We start from the raw sequence: 19,223 nt of genomic DNA, 5'->3' as shown, positions 1-19,223 counted from the left end.
GCAAAAACATGCCAAATTGTAAAGACCATCAAGGCTAGGAAGAAACTGCATCAACTAACGAGCAAAATAGCCAGCTAACATCGTAATGACAGCATCAAATTCACACATAACAATACTAACCTTAAATGTAAATGGGCTAAATGCTCCAATTAAAAGGCACAGGCTGGCAAATTGGATAGAGTCAAGACCCATCAGTGTGCTGTATTCAGGAAACCCATCTCACGTGCAGAGACACACATAGGCTCAAAATAAAGGGATGCAGGAAGATCTACCAAGCAAATGGAAAACAAAAAAAGGCAGGGGTTGCAATCCAAGTCTCTCATAAAACAGACTTTCAACCAACAAAGATCAAAAGAGACAAAGAAGGCCATTACATAATGGGAAAGGGATCAGTTCAACAAGAAGAACTAACCATCCTAAATATATATGCACCCAATACAGGAGCACCCAGATTCATAAAGCAAGTCCTTAGTGACCTACAAAGTGACTTAGGTTCCCACACAATAATAATGGGAGACTTTAACACCCCACTGTCAACATTAGACAGATCACCGAGACAGAAAGTTAACAAGGATATCCAGGAATTGAACTCAGCTCTGCACCAAGCAGACCTAATAGACATGTACAGAAATCTCCACCCCAAATCAACAGAATATACATTTTTTTCAGCACCACACCACACCTATTCCAAAACTGACCACACAGTTGGAAGTAAAGCACTCCTCAGCAAATGTAAAAGAACAGAAATTATAACAAACTGTCTCTCAGACCACAGGGCAATGAAACTCGAAGCTCACTCAAAACCACTCAACTACATGGAAACTGAACATCCTGCTCCTGAATGACTACAGGGTAGAACTAGAAAAGCAAGAGCAAACACATTCAAAAGCTAGGAGAAGGCAAGAAATAACTAAGATCAGAGCAGAAACGAAGGAAATAGAGACACAAAAAACCCTTCAAAAAATCAATGAATCCAGGAGCTGGTTTTTTGAAAAGATCAACAAAATTGTTAGACCGCTATCAAGACTGATAAAGAAGAAAAGAGACAAGAATCAAATAGGCACAATAAAAAATGACAAAGGGGATATCACCACCAATCCCACAGAAATGCAACTACCATCAGAGAATACTATAAACACCTCTACACAAATAAACTGGAAAATCTAGAAGAAATGGAGAAATTCCTCGACACATACATTCTCCCAAGACTAAACGAGGAAGAAGTTGAATCTCTGAATAGACCAATAACAGGAGCTGAAATTGAGGCAATAATTAATAGCTTACCAACCAAAAAAAGTTCAGGACCAGACGGACTCACAGCCGAATTCTACCAGAGGTACAAGGAGGACCTAGTACCTTTCCTTCTGAAACTATTCCAATCAATAGAAAAAGAGGGAATCCTCCCTAACTCATTTTATGAGGCCAGCATCATCCTGATACCAAAGCCTGGCAGAGACACAACAAAAAATGAGAATTTTAGACCAATATCCTTGATCAACATTGATGCAAAAATCCTCAGTAAAATACTGGCAAACCGAATCCAGCAGCACATCAAAAAGCTTATCCACCATGATCAAGTGGGCTTCATCCCTGGGATGCAAGGCTGGTTCAACATATGAAAATCAATAAGCATAATCCAGCATGTAAACAAAACCAAAGATAAAAACCACATGATTATCTCAATAGATGCAGAAAAGGCCTTTGACAAAACTCAACAACGTTTCATGCTAAAAACTCTCAATAAATTAGGTATTGATGGGACTTATCTCAAAATAATAAGAGCTATCTATGACAAGCCCACAGCCAATATCTTACTGAATGGGCAAAAACTGGAAGCATTCCCTTTGAAAACTGGCACAAGACAGGGATGCCCTCTCTCACCATTCCTATTCAACATAGTGTTGGAAGTTCTGGCCAGGGCAATCAAGCAGGAGAAAGAAATAAAAGGCATTCAATGAGGAAAAGAGGAAGTCAAATTGTCCCTGTTTGCAGATGACATAATTGTATATCTAGAAAACCCCATCGTCTCAGCCCAAAATCTCCTTAAGCTGATAAGCAACTTCAGTAAAGTGTCAGGATACAAAATCAATGTGCAAAAATCACAAGCAATCTTATACATCAATAACAGACAAACAGAGAGCCAAATCATGAGTGAACTCCCATTCACAATTGCTTCAAAGAGAATAAAATACCTAGGAATCCAACTTATAAGGGATGTGAAGGACCTCGTCAAGGAGAACTACAGACCACTGCTCAACAAAATAAAAGAGGACACAAACAAATGGAAGAACATTCCATGCTAATTCATAGGAAGAATCAATATCATGAAAATGGCCATACTGCCCAAGGTAATTTATAGATTCAATGCCATCCTTATGAAGCTACCAATGACTTTCTTCACAGAATTGGAAAAAACTACTTTAAAGTTCACATGGAACCAAAAAAGAGCCCGCATTGCCAAGACAATCCTGAGCCAAAAGAACAAAGCTGGAGGCATCACGCTACCTGACTTCAAACTATACTACAAGGCTACAGTAACCAAAACAGCATGGTACTGGTACCAAAACAGAGATATAGATCAATGGAACAGAACAGAGCCCTCAGAAATAATGCCGCATATCTACAACTCTCTGATCTTTGACAAACCTAACAAAAACAAGCAATGGGGAAAGGATTCCCTATTTAATAAATGGTGCTGGGAGAACTGGCTAGCCATATGTAGAAAGCTGAAACTGGATCCCTTCCTTACACCTTATACAAAAATCAATTCAAGTTGGATTAAAGACTTACATGTTAGACCTAAAATCATAAAAACTCTGGAAGAAATCCTAGGCAATACCATTCAGGACATAGGCATGGGCAAAGACTTCATGTCTAAAACACCAAAAGCAATGGCAAGAAAAGCCAAAATTGACAAATGGGATCTAATTAAACTAAAGAGCTTCTGCACAGCAAAAGAAACTACTATCGGAGTGAACAGGCAACCTACAAAATGGGAGAAAATTTTTGCAACCTACTCATCTGACAAAGGGCTAATATCCAGAATCTACAATGAACTCAAGCAAATTTACAAGAAAAAAACAGACAACCCCATCAAAAAGTGGGTGAAGGATATGAACACACACTTCTTAAAAGAAGACATTTATGCAGCCAAAAAACACATGAGAAAATGCTCATCATCACTGGCCATCAGAGAAATGCAAATCAAAACCACAATGAGATACCATCTCACACCAGTTAGAATGGCAATCATTAAAAAGTCAGGAAACAACAGGTGCTGGAGAGGATGTGGAGAAATAGGAACACTTTTACACTGTTGGTGGGACGGTAAACTGGTTCAACCATTGTGGAAGTCAGTGTGGCTATTCCTCAGGGATCTAGAACTAGAAATACCATTTGACCCAGCCATCCCATTACTGGGTATATACCCAAAGGATTATAAATCATGCTGCTATACAGACACATGCACATGTATGTTTATTGTGGTGCTATTCACAATAGCAAAGACTTGGAACAACCCAAATGTCCAACAATGATAGACTGGATTAAGAAAATGTGGCACATATACACTATGGAATACTATGCAGCCATAAAAAATGATGAGTTCATGTCCTTTGTAGGAACATGGATGAAGCTGGAAACCATCATTCTCAGCAAACTATCGCAAGGACAAAATAACAAACACTGCATGTTCTCACTCATAGGTGGGAATTGAATAATGAGAACACATGGACACAGGAAGGGGAACATCACACACCAGGGACTGTTGTGGGTGGGGGGAGGGGACAGGGATAGCATTAGGAGATATACCTAATGCTAAATGACGAGTTAATGGGTGCAGCACACCAACATGACACATGTATACATACATATGTAACAAACCTGCACGTTGTGCACATGTATCCTAAAACTTAAAGTATAATAAAAAAAAAAGGAATGCAAAATCGTGCAGCTGCTATGGAAAATAGCATAGCGATCCCTCAGAAAATTAAAAATAGAATTACCATTAAAAAAAACATAAAACTACCGTAAGATCCGGCAGTTACACTCTGAGTATATATCCGAATGAAATAGAATCAGTATGTCATAAAGATATCTGCATTCCCACATTTATTGCAGCATTATTCTCAACAGCCAAGATGTAGAAACAACCTAAATGTCCATTGACAGTTGAATGAATAAAGACAATGGAGGTAATACACACACACACACACACACACACACACGTGCACACACACATTGGAATATTATTCCACCAAAAAAAGAAGGAAATTCTGCCAATTGTAATAACATGAATCAACCTGGAGGACATTATGTTAAGTGAAGTAAGTCAGAGACAAAAAAGCAAATATATATGATATCCCCTTATATGTGGAATCTAAAGAAGTTGAACTCATGGAAGCTAAGAGTAGAATGGTGGTTGCCAGGTACTGGGGGGTAGAGGAAATTGGGAGATGTTAGCAAAGGGCACAATATTTCTGTTATAAGGTGAATAAGTCCTGGAAATCTATTAATAATATACAGCATGGTAACTATAATTAATAATACTGTATTGTATCATTGAAATCTAATAAGAGAGTAGATCCTAAATGCTCGCACTACACGCAAAAAGTGGTAACAGCTGTGCACAGAGGCATACACCTGTAGTCCTGGCTACTTAGGAGGCTGAGGTTGTGGGGGTTACTTAAGTTCAGAGTCTGTGAACAGCCTGGGCAACATAGCAAGACCCTCTCTAAAAAATAAAAATTTAAAAAGTGGTACACAGACATAAAGATGGAAACAATAGACACTGGAGTCTCCAAAAGTGGGGAGGGAGGGAAGGGACAAGGGTTGTAAAACTAACTATTAAGTACTATGTTCACTATTTGGGGGACGGGTTCAACAGAAGTCCAAACCCCAGCATTACATAATATATCTGTTTAACAAACTTGCACATGTACCACTGAAACTAATTTTTTTAAAAAAACTGGTAACTATGTGAGGTGATGGTTGTGTTGATTAATCTGATTGTGTTAATCATTTCACAATGTGTACATATATCAAATTATCATGTTGTATAGCTTAAATATATACAAGTTTTATTTATCAATTATAACTTAATACAGCTGGGGAGGGGGAAAAGCATAAAAACTCAAACAGGTTGTTAAAGTCCTTGGGAAGACTGGTCCTGCCCCTTTAGGGGAAACCAATGAAGAGTTGCATATTATTTAGGTTACCTAGGACCTGGTCAGGTGTGTGTGTGTGTGTGTGTGTGTGTGTGTGTGTGTGTGTGTGTGTGTGTGTGTGTCTGTGGGCACGTAAGAGAGAGAGAGTTGTGATAGACCATCCTTTTCTCCCATCTGCTCTTTTTATACATTTCCCATTCTACCTAAGAGAGATCAAAACCTGCCCACATGGAAAAGGTCATGGACAAGAAAACTGAGAGTCCAAAATTATGTAATTATTGGGAAACCAGCAATGATTCAAGGACATGTAAGTAAAATACCTAACCTGATTGTGAGGGTAACATCAGGATAAATGTGCACATCACACAAAGAAGTGTGAGATAAATAAATGTTTTGAATATCTCATTGTAAGCATTTTATATCTGATATAGTTTAGATATTTGTCCCCTCAAAATCTCAGGCAGAAATGTAATTCTCAATGTTGGAGTTGTGGCCTAATGCGGGGTGTTTGGATCATAGTGGTGGATCCCTCATGAAAAACTTTGTGTCATTCTTGCAGTAATGAGTTCTCACTCTTATTTTTCGCAAGAGCTGATTGTTGAAAAGAGCTTGGCACCTCTCTCCCCTCTCTCTTCCTTCCTCTTTTGCCATGTGATGCCTGCTCCCCTTCACCTTCTACCTTCAGTAGAAGCAGATGTTGGTGCCATGCTTCTTGTACAGCCTGAGGAACTGTGAGCCAAGTAAATCTGTTTTATCAATTACCCAGCCTCAGGTATTCCTTTATAGTAACACAAATGGACTAAGATAACATCCAATTAAATGTGTGTGACATATAGACTGAACATGGATTATACCTTAGAATGTGGACTAGCTGAATATGTGGTTTGCATCCTATTAAGTGTATTTTGATCTGAGAAGTGGTTATGACATCCAATGAAGGGTTTAACCTTAGAATGGGTATATTCCATTTCATTGTGTGAGCAACATGTCAAATAGTTTGCATATGTATTATCTGAATGTGACCTTTTAAATGTGTGGATAATATTTGAATGTGTAGATTAAAACTAATTGTGTCCTCTGCATGAACGTATAAGACTACTCAATGAGGGGTTCACAACTGAATGACTGTAATGACAAAAAACATTATAACTTCTCAATGAGTGTTTGGCATCTAAGAGAGTGTGTATTGCATTTTGTTGAGTATATTTGATATCATGATGAATGTGTGATTGTCAAAGTTGACATCTGCATGTGTAATATCTGAATTTTTTAATATCCCAATTAAAACATTCAATTAAACATTGAATGGGTGTTTGTGGCATCCATGTAAGCAAGCTATTCATCTAAACTTTGTATTAAACACCTGAATTAGGGTATGTGTTATAATATGTGAGTAATGTCCAAAAGAGTGTAAGTAACAGTTGTATACCTATGACAGCTAAGATACTATGTATGATATGTGGAGGACTGTGTGCTACATCTGAAAAAAATATATGTAAAATACCTGAGTGTGTGTTTGACATCTGAATTAGGAAATGGGTTATAAATGAGTGCCACAAAAGAATAAGTGAGTGTAACATCTGAGTGTATATTCTAACTGAATATGTGAAAAACATTTATTTGACTCCTTTAAAAATATTTATTGCATACCTATTGTGTGACAAGCAAAGTAAAGATGCTGGGAGTACAGCAATGGGCAAGAGAGACAAGGTCAGCTTTGAATGAGTTCATGTGACATCTGAATGTGATGTCTTAAGGAATAATTGTAGCCACAGGGAAAATGTCTTTAATTCAATAGAATTAGTGAGTTTTTAAGATAAATATTTCATTTTTTGAATGGTTTAAGATTTTTTTAACTTGAAGTACAGAGTTTTTTGTACCCTATTTCTGATTAACATTAACATCTTATATAACTATGGCACATTTGTCAAAACTAAAAACATTAACGTTGGCACATTACTATTAACTAAATGGCAGATTTTATTCAGATTTCACTAGTTTTTTTCTACTAATGTTCTTTTACTATTCAAGTATCCAATCTGGGATACCACATTGCAATTATTCATCATTTCTCTTTTGTCTTCTGGAATCAGCCATTGTAAACATTAGTTCTGGTTCATGTTATTGGATAATGGTATTTAGAAGTCAAGATCGGGGCATGGAGTGTGCACATTATTACCATGGCACTCCTGCTTCTCTGTTCTCTCAGTGGAAAGAGCTAAGTAATATATGTATGTGTACTGATCTATGTACACCCCCTCAGTTCATATTGATACCTCTCACTCTAATATCACAGAGTTTTATTCCGACCTTTTGTTTTTGCTTATTTATAACTTCTTTGAAACATTGAAAGACCTGGGTATAAGTGGTAATGTAGTTTCAGAAATGCTAATCTGTACCCCTGTGATAAATTAACAACTAGAGTACAATGTTTATGTATATTTGTCAGGTTTTTGTTTTAGCCATCCTAATACATGTGCAGTGGTATTTAATAGTTTTAAATTTCCTTTCAATCATGGAAAATGATGTTGAACATTTTTTGTACTTGCTTATTTACGATTCATGTATCTTTTTTAGTGCAGTGCCTATTCAAATCTTTGCTACTATTATTTTTAGTAGTTTTGTCTTTTAATCTTCATACTAAAGATATAAGTGATTTAAACACAACTCTTTTAGTATTAGTGTATTTTGAATTTTACTGTGTGCTTACTATTACCAGTGAATTTTATGCCTTCAGATTCTTTGTGTTAAGAATTAACATTTTTTTTTCTTTCAGCTTGAAAAACTCCCTTTAGCATTTCTTGTAAGACAGGTCTGGTGGTGATGAATTCCCTTAGCTTTTGTTTGTCTGGGGAAGTCATGGCTCTCCTTCATTTCTGGAGGATAGGTTTCTTGGGTACAATATTCTTTATTGGCCGTTTTTTTCCTTCAATATATTGAATGTATCATCTCACTGTCTCTTGGCCTGTAAGGTCTTCATAAAGAGATCCACTGCTAGCCTTATTGAAACTCACTTATGTGTGATTTGCTTCTTTTGGTGCTTTCAGGATCCTTTCTTTGTCCTTGATTTTTAACAACTTGATTATAATATGTCATGGTGTAGTCTTGTTTGAACTGAATCTGATTGGAGACTTTTGACATTCTTGTACCTGGATATTTATATCCTTTTCCAATTTTGAAAAATTTTCTGCTATTATTTCTTTAACTAAGCTTTCTACTCCTGTCTTTTTCTTCCATTTCATAAATTCTGTTGGCTTTCTTGATTCCTTTTTATTCTTTTTTCTTTTTTCTTCTCTGACTATATGTTATCAAATAACTTGTCTTCAAGTTCAGATTCTTTTTTCTGCTTGATCAGTTTTAATTTAATTCATTATATTTTTCAGCTCTAGAATTTCTGATTGATTTTTAAAATAATTTCAATCTGTCTCTAGAATTTCTCATTTTGTTCATTCATTGTTTTCCTGACTTAAATGCTTTATTTATCTGTATTTTCTTGAAGTTAGATGAGCTTCCTTAGTACAATTATTTTGAATTATTCATCTGGGAGTTTGCATATCCTGATTTCTTTAGGGTCAGCTACTGGGTGCTTACTGTGTTCTTTTGGTGGTGTTTTGTCCTTTAGTTGTTCTTATTTCTTATTGCCTTACCTTGATGTCTGCACATTTGAAGAAATAGGGATTTATTTTAGTCTTTGCAGAACTGGCTTTGTCTGGGAAAGCTCTTCACATCCAGAGATTATGGGCAGGCCATCTTGTGTCGAGTGAGGGTATGCTTGCTGCAGGAGTCCTTGGGCAGGTTGGCCTGGTGCCTGGATCAGCAGGTAGGCTGACCTGGTGTCTGGGTCCACAGGGGATCTGCTGACACTGGAGTGGCCCTGGTACCTGGGAACTCTGAGACAGGCCTGGAGCCTGAGTCCTTGGGAGCTTGCATAGCACTGGAGCAGACCTGGAGCTTGAGTTCAAGGAGGTAGGTCTGGATTTTGAGTCCACAGGGTCTGGTCTGAAGCCTGGGTCTGTAAGGGTGGTCATTGAGCCTCAGTTCATGGCATCTGGCCTGGTACCAGGGTCTGCCAGGGTGGGCCTGGCCCCTGAGTCTTGTGGGGCATACCTGGAACCTGAGTGCTCTGGAGCCAGAGGCTATGGAGTCTGGCCTTAAGCCTGAGACCTGCCTGGTGCTGGGTCTGAGATGGAACCTAGGTCCACAAGGGCTGCTCTGGGGCCTGGGATTGTAGGCACTGTCTGTTGCCTGGAGCCATGGGGACTGACCTGGAGCCTGAGGCCATAGAGACTGGCCTGTAGCCTGTGTCTGTTGGTGCTGGCTTAGAAGTTTTCTGTAAAGACTGGCATAGGTCATGGGTCCTTGGAGGCTGGCCTAGGACCTGGATACATAAGGGCATTCCTAGAGCCTGAGTCCATGGAGACCCATACAGTGCTAGGATCTACTGGGACAGACCTAGACCTTGCATCTTCTGGTCCTGGCCTGGACACTGGATCTGCTGGAATGTGAACCCACATAAGCTGGTCTAAAGGGTGGGGCTACAGGAGCCAGTCTGGTACTAGGCTGACCTGAAGCCTGTGTCTGCAGGTACCTGCCTGGTGGTTGAGGCCAGAGTTGCCAACATGTTGCCATGGTAGGCCTGAAGTCGGGGGCTGGCTTGGTGCTGTGCGGACCTGGATCCTGTATCTGCAAGAGCCAGCCAAGGTTCTGGGTCCATGGGTGCTGGCCTGTGCTAGAGTGGGCTTGAAACCCCTGGTGCTTGGCTGGGCCCAAAGCCTAGGGCCTACCTGTTGCTGGGACTAGTCTAGAGCATGGAATAGCTGGAGTTGGCCTGGCACTGAGTTCAGTCCAGAAACCACTTCTGCCAGGAAGGCCTGAAGCCTGTGGCTACAAGTTCCTGCCTGGCAATGGGAAGGGCTTGCAGGTTCAGTCCATGGTACCTGCCTGATGACTAGTGCTGTGGGGTTGGCCTAGTGCTAGGGCAGGCCTAAAGCCTGTGGCTGTGAGGGTCATCTGGGTACTGGAGGTGATCCAGAACCTGGGGCCACTTGGTTCAGCCTGGAGGTAGGGCAGCCAGGGACCTGAGGCCACTGGGGCTGGTCTGGTGCTGAGGGAAGTCTGGAGCCTGGGGCTGCTGAGGTTGGCCTGGTGGTGGGCTGTCCTGGAGACTGAGTCTACTGGGTAGGCTAAGAACCTGGGGCCATGGGATATAGCCCTGTGTCAGAAAGGGCCTGAAGCCTCAGTCTGAGAGTACCAGCTTGAAGTCTGGGTCTGTGGGGACCTGCTTGACATTGGGTTTTACTGTAGCAGGCCCAGTTTTGGGATTCAGACAAAACTGTGTACTCAGTTCCTTCTCTTTCCCCCACATGAAGGTTGTTTCTCCATGCTGTGCTGTCTGCAGTTGGGGAAGGGGTAATGTAAAATTATTTTTCCTACCCTCTTCAATGCATCTTTTCTTATTTCAGCGCTATATCCAGGTGCTATAATCTCTCACCTTGTTTCCTTAGCTCTTATGAAGGTATTTTCATGCATGGATAGTTGTTCAAATTGATGTTTCTGAAAGGGGTCAAGCATTGTTGAGTCCTATTCTGCCATCTTGCTGATGTCCATCTCCTGTTTTCCCTATTTTTTAATTGGGTTGTTTGATTTCTTATTATTGAGTTTTTGATGTTCTTTATATATTTTTGATATAAGTAATTTATTGGATATATCACTTGTAAATATTTCTTCCCAATGTGTGCCTTATCTTTTCATTCTCTTAAAGTGTCTTTTACACATCAGGTTTTAAAATTTTCAACAAAGTTCAATCTATTCTTTTTTTATTTCATGGACCTTGATATTAGTATCATATCTGAAATTTCATTGCTAATGTCTAAGTTAAGCATATCTACTGTTATATTTTCTTCTAAAATTTTTATAGTTTTATAACTTATAATGAGTTCTATGATCAATTATGAGTTAATTTTTGCATAAGGTGTTAATTTTATTTTTTGTTATGTATGAGTGTTCAATTGTCCAGTTGTTCCAGTACAATTTGTTGAAAAAATTATCTTTGTTTTTTCATTAAATTTGTTTAAAACTTGTCAACATTAGTCAATGTTATATATTAGGGTCTATTTCTGGGCTCTCTATTCTGTTCCTTTGATCTATGTGTCTATGCCAGTAAAAAACTGGCTTGATTACTGTAGCCTTATAAAAAGTCTTAGGATCAGGTAATGTGAGTCCTCCAACTTTGTTAATCTTTTTCAAAGATATTTTTTGCTAGTTCCTTATGTTCCTTTTTCCTTTCCATATACATTATAGAATAAAGTTTTCAATGTCTATAAAATTGCTTTCTTGAATTTTGATTGAGATTACATTACATCTATAGATAAAGTTGGGGAGAATTTACATTTTAAAAATGGTGAGTCTTCAAATTAGTCAACATAGTATGTCTCATTCATTTATATCTTCTTTTATTTCTCTCATCATTGTTTTATACTTTCTGCATACAGATTTTGCATATATTTTATTATATTTATATTTAAGTCCTTCATTATTTGGTGCTATTGTAAATAGGGTTGATTTTAAATTTCAGATTCCAATTGTTTATTGATAGTATATAGGATCACAATTGACTTTTGTAGGTTAATCTGGTATTTTGGATCTTTGCTAAACTTATAAATTTCAGCAGCACTTTTTGTAGACATTGGTATTTTCACATTAAAAAAATTAGTTTATCAGAGAACAAATATAATTTTATTTATTTCCACATTGCCTGTCTTTTATTTCTTTTTCATGACTCATATCATTAGCTAGGAATTCCAGCACAAAGTTGAACAGGAGTTGTTAGTGAGGCCATCCTTGTCTTACTATAAATCATACAAGGAAAATGTTGTGTCTCACCATTAATATATCACCTGTAGATTTTGCATAGATTGCCTTTATCAGATTGAGGAAGTTATCTTCCATTTCTAGTTTACAAAGAATTTTTATAATGAATGGGTATCAAATTTTCTCAAAAGATTTTCTTCCGCATCTACTGATGTGATTATATGATTTTAAAAATTTAGTCATTAGTATGGTGAATTACATTGATTTTTTTTACTATTTAATCCACTTGGATTACTGGGACAAACCTGCTTATGATGATATTTTATCCTTTTTTATATATTGATGAATTCTTTTTGCTAATATTTTGTTAAGGATTTTTATGACTGTATTTATGAGAGATATTGATCTACAGTTTACTTATAATGTTTTTGTATGGCTTTAATATTAGGCTAATGCTGGCCTCATAAAATATGTTGAGAGGTGTTCTCTCCTTTTCTGTTTTCTGGGAGAAAATGTGGAGAATTGATGTTGTTTCTTTTTTCAAGTTTTGGTAAAACTCACCAGTGAAACCATCTGGGCCTGAAATAGGTTTTTTTGGAAGATTTTTAATTTTGTTTGTTTGCTTTTACTATAAATTCAATTTAATAGGTCCAGGGATGTTCAGATTATCTCTTTCTCTTCTTTAGTACGTTTTGGTAGTAAGTGTTTTTTTTTCCCTGAGGAATTGGTTTAATTTGCCAAAATTTTAAAATTGAATGGCACAAACTTGTTCATTGTTTTTCCTTATCATCTGTTTAACAGCTGTGTGATCAGTAATCATTCCCTTACTTTTATTCCTGATATTGGTAATAAGTGTTTTCTCTCTCTCATTCTCTTTGGCTAGAGGTTTATCAACTTTATTAATCTTTTCACTAACCAACTTTTGCTTTCATTGATTTTCTTTGTTTTCCCATTTGCAATTTCATTGATTTCTGCTCTATTTTTTATTATTTTATCCCTTCTGTTTAAGTTAAATTTTCTCTTCTTTCTGTACTAGGGTGGGATCTTAATAAACAGATTTTAGGTATATTTTTTCTTTTCCAATGTATACCTTCAGTGCTACACATTTTCTCTTCTTTTAAAGGCAACAGTCAAATTGAATTGGAGCCCACTTTAATTGAGTATGACCTCATATTAACATGATTGCATCCACAAAGACTCTATTTGCAAATAAGGTCACATCTATCCATAGGTACTAGGGGTAAGAACATCAGATATCTTTTGGAGGGACACAGTTCAATCCATAACACATTTTGTGACGAGAATTTACTCGAACTCTTAATCTTGTTTCTTTATAGGTAAGTTGTTCATTTTCTCTGGTTGCCTTCAAGATTTTCCCTTTGTCTTTGTTTTTCAGGAGTTATATTTTGATATGCCTAGTGGTGTGTGAGTGTGTGTTTTTATTTGGTTTTTATTTATTTGGTTTTATTTTATTTTTATTTTACTCTGTCTGGTGTTCTCTGAGCTTCTTGGATCTTTGGTTTCATGTCTATCACTAATACTGGAAAAAAACACCCACTGTTTTTTCAAATATTTTCTCTGTCTTATTTTTATTTCTGTGATTCCAATTACTTATGTGTTACATCATTTGCTATTACCCCACATCTCTTAGATTTTCTGTTCTGCTTTTTACACTCTTTGTGTAACTTCCATAGTTCTATTTTCAAGTTCACTAATTTATCCCTTTGCTCTGTAAATCAGTGATGATCCTCTAAAAGACATTTTTCATATTTGTTATCATATTTCTTATTTCTACTATTTTTCTTGGTTTCACATTTATGGTTTCAATTTCTTTACTGAAATCACCTATCTACTACTCTTGCATGTGGTCTACCTTTTCTATTAGAGGTTTTAACATATTAATCATAGTTATTTTAAATTCCCCGTATGATAGTTCCAACATATGTATCATTGCTGAGTTTGGTTCTGATTACTTGTTTGTCTCATCAGACTGTGTTTTTTTTTTCTGTTTTTTTATTTTTCTTTTTTTTCTTTTTTTTTCTTTTTTTATTTTATTATTATACTTTAAGTTTTAGGGTACATGTGCACATTGTGCAGGTTAGTTACATATGTATACATGTGCCATGCTGTTGCGCTGCACCCACTAACTCGTCATCTAGCATTAGGTATATCGCCCAGTGCTATCCCTCCCCCCTCCCCCCACCCCACAACAGTCCCCAGAGTGTGATGTTCCCCTTCCTGTGTCCATGTGATCTCATTGTTCAATTCCCACCTATGAGTGAGAATATGCAGTGTTTGGTTTTTTGTTCTTGCGACAGTTTACTGAGAATGATGATTTCCAATTTCATCCACGTCCCTACAAAGGGCATGAACTCATCATTTTTTATGGCTGCATAGTATTCCATGGTGTATATGTGCCACATTTAATAACGCTGCATAACTACAACTATCTGATCTTGACAAACCTGAGAAAAACAAGCAATGGGGAAAGGATTCCCTATTTAATAAATGGTGCTGGGAGAACTGGCTAGCCATATGTAGAAAGCTGAAACTGGATCCCTTCCTTACATCTTATACAAAAATCAATTCAAGATGGATTAAAGACTTAAACGTTAGACCTAAAACCATAAAAACCCTAGAAGAAAACCTAGGCATTACCATTCAGGACATAGGCATGGGCAAGGACTTCATGTCTAAAACACCAAAAGCAATGGCAACAAAAGCCAAAATTGACAAATGGGATCTAATTAAACTAAAGAGCTTCTGCACAGCAAAAGAAACTACCATCAGAGTGAACAGGCAACCTACAAAATGGGAGAAAATTTTCACAACCTACTCATCTGACAAAGGGCTAATATCCAGAATCTACAATGAACTCCATCAAATTTACAAGAAAAAAACAAACAACCCCATCAAAAAGTGGGCGAAGGATATGACTTTTCTTTCTTTCTTTTTTTACTGTGGAGATAGAGACATAATGTTCTTATTATGTCTTAGTCTTTGGAGTACACAGCGGGCCTGTCTCTCAGGGTGTGGCCCTTACAGGCTTTTCTATCACTCCTGGATGGCTAGAGCTTTCACCATCCTCACTCAATTCCCTGAGCTGCCGTGGATATCAGCCAATATTCTGTGTCTTCAACTTGAGGACCTTCCTTCTGCAGATTAAGACTTTTTTGTTATTTTTTGACGTAGGTGAGGTTGTGGATGGGATCTGAGCATTTCTCCAGCTGCAGTGGTATTTCACTAGTGCCCCCAGTGATATTCTGCACCCTGCTAATTAGGAATTTTTTTCTATAAGGTAAAAGCGTCTGAGAAGATATCCCAGTGGCTTGATGTTCCGTTGCCCCAGTCATCACTATGGGAGAGGGAGGTAATTTTTCTAGGTTCTTCTTTATTCTCACTTTGAGAGCCTGGTGGAGTTCCTTTAAAAGCCTGCATAAGAGTGGTGTCCCCCTCTATGAGTGTGGCCTCCAGGAATTCACACTTTCTAGCTATATTTGTAGGCTATATTTGGTCTCCAACACTTTACTAAAATTTCTATTTTAATCTTCATACCAGCTTACATGAAATTCAACACCTTCTTCCCTAGGTAATAAGATGCTCAAGGCATTGTGTGTCTGTCTCAAAATTTCAGGAAGGCTGTTATTTTTGTGAACCCAGATCCATGTTGGAATCAGATAACAAAATTAATATACTGTCTGTCCAGCTGTTTTTTTATTGTGAGTATAAGTCTTACCTCTTTCTATCTCCTTCCATGTTTGAGCTGAAAATTGAAGTCCAGTCTTCATTTGTGTGTGTACGCATGGGGTATACTTTTATTTGTGGAGGATTTCACAGCCAACTTTTTTTTTAGCATAGTACCCAATAGGTAGTTTTTTGATCCTCAACCTCCTCCCACCATTCACCCTCAAGTAGGCCCCAGCATGTATTGTTTCCTTCTTTGTTTCCGTGTGTACTCAATGTTTAGCTCCCACTTATGAGTGAGAATGTATGATATTTTATTCCCTGTTCTTGCATTAATTCACCTAGGATAATGGCCTCCAGCTGCATCCATGCTGCTACAAAGGACATGATTTCACTTTTTTATGACTGTGTAGCATTCCATCATATACATGTACCACATTTTGTTTATCCAGTCCACCTTTGATGGGCTTTACGTTGCTTCCATATCTTTGCTACTGTGAATAGTGCTGCAATGAACATACACATGCATGTGTCTTTATGGTAGAACAATTTATATTCTTTTGGATATATAGCCAGTAATGGAATTGCTGGGTTGAATGGTAGTTCTAAGTTATTTGAGAAATCTCCAAACTGCTTTCCTCAGTGGCTAAGCTAATTTACATACCCACCAACAGTGTATAAGCATTCCTTTTTTTCTGAAGCTTGGCCAGCATCAGTAGTTTTTGGACTTTTAAATAGTAACCATTGTGCCTGGTATGAGATAGTATCTCATTGTGATTTCGATTTGCATTTCTCTAATTATTAGTGCTGTGGAGCATTTTTTCATATGTTTTTTGGCCGTGTGTTTGTCTTCTTTTGAGAAGTATCTGTTCATGTCCTTTGCCTATTTTATAATGGGGTTGTTTTTACTTGCTAATTTTTTTAAGTTACATATAGATTCTGTATATTGAACATTATAGTCAGATGCATAGATTGCATATATTTTCTACCATTCTGTAGGTTGTCTGTTAACTCTGTTGATAGTTTCCTTTGCTGTGTGAAAGCTCTTTAATTAGGTCCCACTTGTCAATTTTTTGTTTATATAGCATTGTTTTTGGAGTCTTCATTATGAAATCTTTGCCAGAGCCTATGTTCAGAATGGTATTTCCTAGGTTTTTTTTCCAGGGTTATTATAATTTTCGGTTTTACATGGAAGTCTTTAATCCATGTTGACTTGATTTTTGTATATGGTGAAAGGTTGGAGTTTAGTTTCAATCATCTGCATGTGGCTGGCCAGTTATCCCAGCACCATTTGTTGAATAGGGAGTCTTTTCCCCATTGTTCATTTTTGTCAGCTTTGTCAAAGATCAGATGGTTGTAGGTATGCAGGTGTATTTTTTCGTTCTCTGACCTATTCCATTGATCTATGTGTCTGTTTTGGACCAGAAACATGCTGTTTTGGTTACTGTAGCCTCGTAGTATAGTTTGAGGTTGGGTGGTGTGATGCCTGTAACATTGCTCTTTTTGCTTAGGACTAATTGGCTCTTTTTTGGTTCCATATGAATTTTAGAATCATTTTTTCCTAATTAAGTGCAAAATGTCATTGGCAGTTTGATAGCAATAGCACTGAACCTGCAAATTGCTTGGGGCAATATGGCAAATTTAACAATATTGAATCTTCTAATCCATAAGCATGGAATATTTCTCCATTTGTGTCATCTCTGATTTCTTTCTTCAGTGTTTTGTAATTCTCATTGTGGAGATCTTTCATCTCCATGGCTAGCTGTATTTCTATGCATTTTGTTGTTTTTATGGCTATTGTGAATGGGGTTGTGTTCTTGATTTGGTTCTCAGCTTGGATGTTGTTGGAGTATAAAAATGTTGCAGATTTTTGTACATTGATTTTGTATCTTGAAACTTTTCTGACATTGTTCATCAGATCTAGGAGCTTCTGGGCAGAGACTATTGGGTTTTCTAGGTAGAGAATTATATCATCTGTAAACAGGGACAGTTTGACTTCCTCTCTACCTATTTGGATGCCTTTTATTTCTTTCTCTTGTCTGATTGCTCTGGCTAGGACTTCTAGTACTATGTTGGCTAGAAGTGGTGAGAATGGATATCCTTGTCTTGTTCTGGTTCTTAAGAGGAATGCTTCCAGTTTTTGCCCATTCAGTATCTTGTTGGTCGTGGGTTTGTCATAGTTTTGAGATATGTTTATTTGATGCCTAGTTTATTGAGGATAATTAACATGAAGGGATGCAGAATTTTATTAAAAGCCTTTCTGGCTGGGCACGGTGGCTCACGCCTGTAATCCCAGCACTTTGGGAGGCCGAGGCGGGCGGATCACGAGGTCAGGAGATCGAGACCATCCTGGCTAACATGGTGAAACGCCGTCTCTACTAAAAAAAATACAAAAAATTAGCTGGGCGTGGTGGCAGGCGCCTGTAGTCCCAGCTACTCGGGAGGCTGAGACAGGAGAATGGCGTGAACCCGGAGGCGGAGCTTGCAGTGAGCCGAGATTGCGCCACTGCACTCCAGCCTGGGTGACAGAGCAAGACTCCATCTCAAAAAAAAAAAAAAAAAAAAAAAAGCCTTTCTGCATCCATCGAGATTATCATGCATGTGGTTTTTGTTTATGTGATGAATCACATTTATTGATTTGTGTATATTGAACCAACCTTGGATCCCAGGAATAAAATCTAGTTGATTTTGGTGGATTAGCTTTTTAATGTGCTGCCAGATTTGGTTTGCTAGTATTTTGTTGAGAGTTGCATCTATGTTCATAAGAAATATTGGCCTGAAGTTTTCTTTTTTTGTTGTGTCTCTGCCAGATTTTGGTATCAGAATGATGCTGGGCTCATAGAATGAGTTATGGAGGAGTCTCTCCTACTCGATTTTTGGGAGTAGTTTCAGAAAGATTGGTACCATCTCTTCTTCATAGGTCTGATAGAACTCAGCTGTGAATCCATCTGTCCCAGGGCTTTTTCGGGTTGGTAGGCCTTTTATTACTGACTAAATTTCAGAACTGATTATTGGCCTGTTCAGGGTTTCAATTACTTCCTCATTCAACCTTGGAGGGTTGTATATTTCCTAGAATTTATCTATTTCTTGTCGGCTTTCTAGTTTGTGTGCATAGAAATATTCATAATAGTCTCTGAGGGTTTTTTGTATTTCTCTGGGGTTAGTGGTAATGTCCACTGAGTCATTTCTGGGTGTGTTTATTTGGATCTTCTCTCCTTTTTTCTTTATTAGTCTAGCTAGTGGTCTATCAGTCTTATTTTTTTCAAAGAACAAACTTTTGCTTTTATTGATCTTTTATGTGGTTTTTTCCTGTCCCCATTTTATTCAGTTAAGATCAGATTTCGGTTATTTCTTATTTTCCGCTAGCTTTGGGGTTGGCTTGCTCTTGTTTTTCTAGTTCCTGTAGGTGTGATATGAGATTGTTAATTTGAGATCGTTCCAAATTATTGACGTGGGCATTTAGCACTAAGAAGTTCCCTCTTAATACTGCTTTAGCTGTGTCCCAGAGTTTCTGGTATGTTGTAGCTTTGTTTTCATTAATTTCAAAGAATTTCTTGATTTCTG

Source organism: Homo sapiens, chromosome X (assembly GCF_000001405.40).
Source record: "Homo sapiens chromosome X, GRCh38.p14 Primary Assembly".
Taxonomy (NCBI): Eukaryota; Metazoa; Chordata; class Mammalia; order Primates; family Hominidae; genus Homo; species Homo sapiens.
Note: the sequence above shows the minus strand (reverse complement) of the source record.